The following is a 10,562-nucleotide window of genomic DNA, read 5'->3' as shown; positions in this document are numbered from 1 at the left end:
GATAAGATACACTTTTTAATTTTTTTATATTAAGTTCTGTGATACATGTGCAGAACGTGAAGGTTTGTTACATAGGTATACATGTGCCATGGTGTTTTGCTGCACCTGTCAACCTGTAACCTAGGTTTTAAGCTCCACACACATTAACTGTTTGTCCTGATGCTCTTTCTCCCCTGCCCCCAACCTGCGACAGGCCCCAATGTGTGTTGTTTCCCTCCCTGTGTCTATGTGTTCTCATTGTTCAACTCACACTCATGAGTGAGAACATGCGGTGTTTGGTTTTCTGTTCCTGTGTTAGTTTGCTGAGAATGATGGTTTCCAGCTTCATCCATGTCCCTGAAAAGAACATAATCTCATTTATTTTTATGGCTGCATTGGAGACCATGGTGTATATGTACCACATTTTCTTTATCCAGTCTATCGTTGATGAGCATTTGGGTTGGTTGCATGTCTTTGCTATTGTGAATAATGCTGCAATAAAAATATGTGGGCATGTATCTTTATAATAGAACAATTTATATTCCTTTACGTATATACCCAGTAATGGGATTGTGGGGTCAAATGGTATTTCTTGTTCTAGATCTTTGAGGCATTACCACATTGTTTTCCACAGTGGTTGAACTAATTTACACTCCCACCAACAGTGTAAAAGTGTTTCTATTTCTCCACAGCATCATTAGCATCTGTTGTTTCTTGATTTTTTACTAATTGCCATTCTGATTGGCATGAGATAATATCTCGTTGTGGTTTTCATTTGCATTTCTCTAATGATCAGCGATGTTGAACATTTTTTCATATGTTTGTTGGCCACATAAATGCCTTCTTTTGAGAAGTGTCTGTTCATTTCCTTTGCCCACTTTTTGATAGGATGTTTGTTTTTTCTTGTAAATTTGTTTAAGTTCCTTGTAGATTCTGGATATTAGACCTTTGTCAGATGTGTAGATTGCAGAAATTTTCTCCCATTGTTAAGTTGCCTATTGGCTCTGATGCTAATTTCTCTTGCTGTGCAGAAGCTCTTTAGTTTAATTCAGTCCCATTTGTCCATTTTAGCTTTTGCTGCAATTGCTTTTGACGATTTAATCATAAAATCTTTGGCCATGCCTACATCCTGAGTGGTATTGCCTAGGTTTTCTTCTAGGGTTATTAATATTTTGGGTTTTACATTTAAGTCTTTAATTCATCTTGAGTTAATTTTTGTATAAGGTGTTAGAAAGGGGTCTAGTTTTAGTTTTCTGCATATGGCTAGCCAGTTTTCCCAGCATCATTTATTAAATAGAGAATCATTTTCCCATTGCTTGTTTTTGTCAGGTTTGTCAAAGATCAGATGGTTGTAGATGTGTGATCTTATTTCTGACATCTCTATTCTGTTTAATTGGTCTATATGTCTGTTTTGGTGCCAATACCATGCTGTTTTGGTTACTGTAGCCTTACAGTATAGTTTGAAGTCAGGTAGCGCTATCCCTCCAGCATTGTTATTTTTGCTTAGGATTGTCTTGGAGCTCAAAATAATAAGAGCTATTTATGACAAACCCACAGCCAATAGCATACTGAATAGGCAAAAGCTGGAAACATTCCCTTTGAAAACCAGCACAAGACAGGATGCCCTCTCTTACCACTCCTATTCAACATAGTATTGGAAGTTCTGGCCACATCAATCAGGCAAAAGAAAGAAATAAAGAGTATTCAAATAAGAAGAGAGGAAGACAAATTATCTCTGTTTGCAGATGGCATGCTCCTATATTTAGAAAGCCCCATTTTCTAAGCCCCCAAACTCCTTAAGCTGATAAGCACTTTGGCAAATTCTCAGGGTACAAAATCAGTGTGCAAAAATCAGAAGCAATCCTATACACCAACAATAGGCAAGCAGAGAGCCAAATCATGAATGAATTCATCTTCACAATTGCTACAGAGAGAATAAAATACCTAGGAATGCAGCTAACAAGGGATGTGAACGACCTCTTCAAGGAGAACTACAAACCACTGTTCAAGGAAATAAGACAGGACACAAACAAATGGAAAAGCTTTCCATCCTCATAGATGGGAAGAATCAATATCATGAAAATGACCGTACTGTCCAAAGTAATTTATAGATTCAATGCTATCAAACTACCATTGACATTCTTCACAGAATTAGAAAAAAAAGCTACTTTAAAATTCATATGGAACCAAAATAGAGCCCATACAGCCAAGAAAATCCTAAGAAAATGTTTTACATATACAGCATAGAATACTATACAGCCAAAAAATAAAATTATGTCCTTTGCAGCGACATGGAAGCAGTTGGAGAGCATTATCATAAGCATATTAATGTAGGAACAGAAAATAAAATACCACATGTTCTTACTTTTAAGTGGGAGCTAAACATTGAGTAGACATGAACACAAAGTAGAGGATAACACACACTGGAGCCTGCTTGAAGGTGGAGGATGGGAGGAACATAACTGTCAAAAAACTACCTATCAGGTACTATGATGAAATAATTTTTGCACCGAACCCCTGTGACATGCAGTTTACCTATACAACAAACCTGCATATATATGCTGAATCTAAAATAAAAGTTAAAAAAAGAAAAAATTTGTTCTAGAAGTTAAAAAATAAATAAAATTTTCTAAATGACATGATGGTACAGAAGCAGAAGTATCATCTGAAAAAAAATCTAACACTCTTTTATTATAAAACCTCGAAGCAAAATTAAAATAGAGACAATTTGTTTCAACTTGGTAAAGAATATCTCAAATAACACAGTATCATACTTAATGTAAAAAAAATGGACAGATTCTCCTGCTAAGATCAGAACAAGGCAAAAGTTTCTACTCATCACTCCTATTCAATATTTTACTGAAAGACCTAGGCAAAGCAATTGACAAGAAACAGAAACTAAAAGTATGTGTATAACAAAAAATGTAAAATCTTCTTTGCTCTCAAATGACTTGATACTGTATCTCAAAAATCCCGAAAATATCACAAAAACCTGGAACAAATAAGCAAATATTGTGAGATCTCAGAATATAAGATGAATATATAAAATCAATTGCCTTTCTTTGTATATATCATCAATGAACATATAAATTTAAGAGTTATAACAGCATACATTTGAAATAGTATCAAAAATAGGGAAGTCTTCAGCTAAAATTCTAACAAAATGCATATAGGACCTATATGCATGAAACTTCAAAATTCTGATAAAGTCGCTATCTAAATAAATGTAGAGATATTCTGTGTTCTTGAATTGGCAGGCTCAACAATGAAAACAACTTAATTATTCCCAGATGGATCTATAGATGCAGTATAATTCTAATCAAAATCTCAGAAGTTATTTTATAGATATTGAAAAACCTGTTCTAAATAATATGTGAAAAAGCACAATATATAGAATCAAGTGGAAACACAACACTGAAAAAAACCAAAGGGGTGCACCCCTATACCTGACTTCAAGACTTACTCTGAAGCTACAGGAATCAAATAGTGTGGTATTGGCGAAAGGTTTGGCAAATAGCTTAACAGAATTAAGAGTTCAGAAGTAGATGCACACAAATATAATAAACAGATCTTGGGCAATAGAGCAATAAAAACTCAATAAAGAAAGGACAGTCTTTTCAATGAGGTGCTAGAATAATTGGACATCCATATACCACAAAAAAAGAAAAGAGAAAAGAAAAGACATCTAGATACAGACGTTAAATATTTCATTAAAAATAACTTAAAATGGACCATAAATTCAAACGTAAAATCTAAATAATATGCACAACTTTTTTTTTTTATTTTTAGCAGAAAATATAGAAGAAAATGTAGGTTACCTTAGATTTGACAACGCATTTTTACATACAACAATAACAAAAAAACTGATTATCAAATAAAGAAAAAAATGATTGATACAGAATTTTTGAAAGTTAAACACATCTGCTTTATAAAAAAAATACAGCTAAAAGAATGAAAAGACAAGAAAACACCATAAGAAAATATTTTTCAAATACATATCTAATAAAGGACTTTGTACTGTTTTAAGTGGCGTTTCTCCAAAATTCAGGTCTCTCTGATAACTTTAACTGCAATTTCAAACCTTTTTTGGAAATAAGGTCTTTTCTAATATAATTAAGTTCAAATGAAATCACATTGGATTAGGAACTTCTGAGGGCAGTCTCTAACCCCTTGACTCAAGTCTACACAGGAAGAGAAAACGGACATAGACACACAATGAATGCCATGTGAAGGCAGAGTCAGAGATTGAAATTATGTTTCTTTAGGGGTCCCACCTAAAGCACACACAGATTAAATCACAGCAGTCAAGTCATCTCTCGTCTGAAAAGCCTTCCCAAGGACAGGTACAAACGAGTCCAGACTGCAAAGACTACAATAAATACCTAACTCTTCAAGGTCCAATCACAGACAATCATGTACAAATATCAAGACAATCCAAGAAAACATGGCCCCACAAAATGAACTAAGAAAGGAACCAGGGACCAATTCTGGAGAAATGGAGATATATCACCTAGCCATGAAAATGTCAAGGATTGCCATCAACCACTTGAAACCAGGAAGAGGCAAGAACAGAGTCTACTGTAGAGCTTTCTGAGGAAGGATACATGTGCCAATACCTTGATTTTGAACTTTTAGCCTCCAGAAATAGGAGATGATAAATCTCTGTTGTTTGAAGCCACTAAATTCATGGTATTTTGTTACAGCATCTCTAAGAAATACATACAGACTTACTGTGTATCCAAAATATATAAAGAACTTTTTAAACGCAGCAACATTAAAATAACCTAAGTGAACCGGGCTAAAGATCCAAACGTTACTAAAGAAGATATAGAAATGGCAAGAAAGCATACAAAAAGATGACAGACATCATTTGTTATTAGTAATTTTGAATTGATATGAAGAATTACCACTATTTCCTGTTAGATGAAGAAAAATAAATAAATGAATAAAACCCCCAAAACCTGACAATACCAAATACTGGTGAGGTGGTGAAGATGTGAAGGAAGAGGAGATTATATTTATTTAACAGTAATTCTTTACCAATGTAAGAAATGCAAAACGGTATGGCCACTCTGGAAGACAGTTTTCCACTGTCTTTACAAATGTTATCATAGTGTTATGATGCAGAACTTGTGGTCGCAGATTTTTACCCAAATATTTTGAAATTATTTTTCTGTACAAAAACCTGTATGCAGAAATGATGACCACTTTATTTGTAACTGCCCAAAACTGGAAGCAACCAAGATGTCCTTCAATAGATGAATAGATAAACAAGCTGTGGTACTTCCAAACAGTGCAATATTATCCAACAATGACCAGACTAAAAGTGCTACCAAGCCACAGGAAAGTGGGGACATGTTAAATGTGTATTGCTAAGTGAAAGAAAGCAGTCTGAAGAGACCATATCCTTTATGATTCCAATTATATGACATTTTTAAAAGACATTATAGAAATAGTAAACAGATTAGTGGTTTCCAGGGGAGAGAGGAGGTAGGGGTAGGAGATGATGTGAAATTTCAGTAGGTAAAGTCTAGAGGGCTTTTTAAAGTGGTAAAACTATTCTCTGTGATACGGTAATTGTTGATACATGACGCTAATGTATTTGGCAACACAAAAGATAACCTCACACCATAAAGAGTAAATATTGATGTATGTAAATTGAAGTAATCATTTAGGAGGTGAAGAGATACTAGGATTGGGTACCATTATGAGTAAGCAATCTACCTGTGTAAGAAATGTATGAAACACTCTCTCTGAACAAGATGAGAGGTGCTTTCCTAAGTAACTTTGGGAATGAGTGAAGACAGCCAGATTAAGGCAAAATGAACTGTACATGAATACCATAACCTAGTTGATAAAGTCATTTTCTGCAGGGATAGAATTCAGATTGGCAATTTGAATACCTCTATGTATGCAAACTGTAATTGAACCATTAAATTATTGGATGTTAGATACTGAAAGCCAGATTTCTCACTGTTGGAATGGAAGACAAACAAAAGAGTAGGAAGCTAGAATGATACACGTGGTAATAGATTAGTTATGGTGACATCTATATAGCCTCATTTTTAGCTTGATATACATACAGATCATTAAATGGATAAGTAATTATAGATATGTACATACACACAATTAGTATACTCACATATATTTCCTTGTCTGTCAGCCAGGAGAGTTTGGAAACACAAAGCCTAAATGGTAACAGTCAGACCAGTGTCACAGGATTTTTTTTCTCATACAGTTCTCCAATAAAAGGTACCAGGGTGACTTGAATAAATAGATTATTCTATGGATGGGGCAAAAATACAGAGGATATATCTTGGGGATCTTGTAATGTTATCAAATAAAGAAGTGCTAAAAAAAACAGATTGGTGGAACTATGACAAAGAAGGAAACAAAGATACAACTAAATGAACTTTGAATGGCCTAAGATAGAACAGTTTGAAAAGAAAATCAAATAGTGTTAGATTTGAATGCAAGCATAAAATGAATATGAAATAATAATAAAATCAGGAATGAAGGAACAAAGAAAAGATGTGAGGAATAAAGAGAATCATAAGAATATACTTTACAGCCAGGTGTGGTGGCTTACGCCTGTAATCCCAGCACTTTGGGAGGCCGAGGCAGGCAGATCACCTGAAGTCAGGAGTTCGAGATCAGCCTGGCCAATATGGTGAAACCCCATCTGTACTAAAAATACAAGGATTAGCCAGACGCAGTGGTGCATGCCTGTAATCCCAGCTACTTGGGAGGCTGAGGCTGGAGAATAGCTTGAACCCGGGAGGCGGAGGTTGCAGTGAGCCGAGATCACGTTACTGCACTCCAGAGCAGGTGACAGAAGAGCAAGACTCTGTCTCAAAAAAAAAAAAAAAAAAGAAAGAAAGAGAATATACTTTCCTCCATACACACACGCACACACAAAATAAATAATTGTCTTATAAACCTACTCATAGTCAAAGGGGAAAATATTTTGCAACAGACACAAAGAAAGAAAAGATGATCATTCTCATTTGCTAGTAGAAAGCCCTAGAGAAAAGAATGAGAAACTGTGTGTATGGTAAAGTGAAAACTTTCTGATTAGAGCTCTTATTAATGCTCACAATTTTTTTTCAGTTGACCTAGATGAACAGCTCCAATAGTATAAGCAGTGATACCAGATATTATGCAGCCTTTTACAATATCCAATGGCCTGAAGAAAGACTTTGTTGATGTATTCATTTGATATTTTTCCCTTTGTTCTGGTACCTAGATGATTTTTCTTAATTCTTAACCTTCAGTTTCCTCCATGGATATATTCTTCCTATACTACTTTTTTTTTTGAAATTTTCCTGTTTTGATTCTTAGATCTTCCTACTGACATCTAAGTATCAGCTTTTTTCCTGGATATTAGAAACTTACCTATTATATCTAATTCTGAATTTGTCATCAATTTTTGTCGCTGTATTTCTTTTCTGAATCAATATTGGGGTGGCTATTCAGTCCTCCATCATGTCTCGCCTAACAGGATTGAATAGGGTCAGTGTATGGGGTGAATGATAAAGAGACAAATCTCAATGTGTTCTGAAGTTTAAAAGGTTTGAATGAAGTATAAAAATCTATAGATAGATTTGTTAGTGAGGCCCAGAAAAAGAGAATATTCTGCAAGTTCGGGATACACAAGAGTCAATAACAGGGAACAATTTGAGGAGCTTTGCGGACACAAAAGGATAATAAAAATTGAATCTATTGGGGAGAAATTTGTCACAATACAACACTATCGAATAATGCCAGGCACTCTAAATGTAGACAAATGATCATAAGTAGAAAGGGGTTTGGAATCTATCATTGCTTCCAAGAGTTTTCTTCAGTCTTTTGTAAGACAGCTAAACTGTTTCTTTCATCGTTTCCTTTCCCTCTTCTGATTTTTGCTCCAGGATTTATATGTTGGTGGGGAGAACAGAGCCAATAAGTTTATCAGAATACCAATGTCCTTATTCTTCCAGCATGTGTAATCTTAGCTAGTTTAGGGCAGAATAGTATTGATGTAGAACATTATATATCAATTGCAATGACATTTGGAAGAATGGAGGCTTAAATGCCCCTATTAGTAGTCAACTGCCACAGGGAAAGATGCACCATGTTAAATTTGAACCCTGTTAGATACTATAAATACAAAAATTCAAGAAAATCTCATTAACATTGTCTCCTGTAACAAAACAAAATATAGTGCAAATTCTAAAATTCCATCTTATCTAACACATTAGTATAGCAAATACAGTTTATCCTTTACCTAAAATTACATTTACAACAACACCATAATAAACATCTACTTACAATTAAAAATGTAAACCTTATTACTGTTAGAAAAAGGAAAATTCAAAAGAAAATCTTAACAATGGCCCATGATGGCTGCAGTCAGGCACATGGATAATAAAACCTAGGCTTATTAGCTAAAGCTTAGCCCTTGCCTGAGTAACCGGAGTTAAATATTTTACTGACAGATACTGGTTATAAACCCGTTTATTAGATATAGAACAAGACTGGATGCAATCAGTCACCCTCCACCCGCCCTAATATGCCTAAACTTTCTCCCTGCTCACTCAACTGCATGTTTACCTTATCTTATGTATAGCATCACTGAGCACCAATCAGAATTATAAGAATGAAATTCTTGCTTAACTACCCACTTCTCCTGTCTTCGGTGATGTATGTCTCCCCCTATTAGGAAATGTATATGTACTGTGCTTCATGTAATCTACTTTGGAATACATTCTTGGTCTGTACTGAGTTTGTGTTCTCTAGGCTTAAATCTTCATACTTGGCTCAGAATAAATCTGATTTCTGCAAGTTCCAGTGCCTATTATTTCATTTTTTGGTCAACATTACTAAAGTCTAAAGTAACCTGAGAGTAAAAATATATGCAAATTATGTCAATAGGTGAGAGAAAAATATTTACTTGCTTATATATACACTCATATATATACATTCCAATGTAGTTTCAGATTTTAGCTAATAACCATTACAGAAAATTATGTTCCAGGAAATAAGTAGTAATTTTTACAATGTTATATTTTAAAAAGATAAACTTAATATGTTATTATATTTTCCTATGGCAATGTGTTTTTTTTCTGCATGTGTAGTTGTAGTAGTTTTCAGATTTAAACTTTGAGATACTATTAATATTGTTCAGTCATTTGAAGACAGGAATTGCCTTTTAGAAACGTGTAGCATGAGCAATTCATTTTGAATGAATAGTCAGAATTTCAGATTTAATACTCAGCTCATTAGTGCCCCTTTAAAGTTCAGATTGTTTACTAAAAGTGATGGAATTCCATAAAGTTGTTAAAAATGCACAGGAAATTAATGTTATTACAGGAAAATATATCCAAAAGAATGCGTATATCTGAACAACACGAAGGGATAAAAAATCTATAGTCTTCCTCCCAACAATTATTTCTCTTATGTTCCATTTATTTTGTTGTAGCTGAATACATTACCAATGTTTAGTAATTATCGGATTCTCTTCATCACCTAAAAAATTCTCTTCATCACCAAAAATTCAATACATGAAAATTAGAATAAAAATATACAGGTGAACTTTGACACAGGAAAAATGTTTGATAGACCGTGAAAGTTCCAAAGGCCAGCTATCCTGAAGATCAGTTTCTATTTTCAGGCTATTATAAGGCTTAGTGGTGTTGACAGGAATATTTGCCTGAAATTTGAATTAATTAGCTGGAGAATACTTAGGTACAATTAAAAACTGAAGCTCATCTTGGAGTTATCTTTGACTTTCTACAATTCAGTTTCCAAATTCAGTAATTTTAGAAAATCTTCAATATTTACCATCTACCTTATAACAAAAATTTATTGAGTATTTCTTTGCCTGTCACTGGACTACTAGCTTTTTCATGGATGACATCACTTAACTCTTTTAACAATTTTATGAAGTACTATTGTTTCTTTATTTTACAGATGAGGAAAATGAAGGTATATGTAATTTGTCCAAGTTTAGACATCTAAGTAAGTGGTAGCAGTAGGCATTTTGATTATACAATGATGTTTTTGACCACAGGATCAGATGTTCTTGTCACCCTTTGCTCTTTATGCCAAACTGGTTGAGAAAGTTATTTATACATTTGTTCATTGCCTCATTCATGAGAGTTCAATGGGCTTATTGGTAATTGTGAGATTTCAGTTTAACAGCCCATGGATTCTATTTGACACACATATATGTTCAATTTGGCATACAAACTTGTTTATTTCATTTTAATTAAATTACCTAGAAGGATTTAAAATTTTGAGAATTTACAGAAAACCAAATTCTCTACTTCTTCTGAAAATCCATAAAACCTGAAAATACGTGTTTGCATCAATGCATGTCACCCACTGGTTGAATCTCAGGCACTTAGTCCCATTGAAAGGAGACATGCAGAGTCCCAATATTTTCCTGGTGAATCTTTGGTATTTGTATATATATTAGAGGAAGTTTAGGTTACATGCTAGCAAAGATTAGAATTTAAGGGATTTATTGGGAGCGTGGAAGAATTTAGCAACTTTTCAGATTTCGGCAAATTCTCATCTAGAATATATAAAAGGAAAAAGAA

The sequence above is a fragment of the Homo sapiens genome, chromosome 13 (assembly GCF_000001405.40).
Source record: "Homo sapiens chromosome 13, GRCh38.p14 Primary Assembly".
Lineage (NCBI taxonomy): Eukaryota > Metazoa > Chordata > Mammalia > Primates > Hominidae > Homo > Homo sapiens.
Note: the sequence above shows the minus strand (reverse complement) of the source record.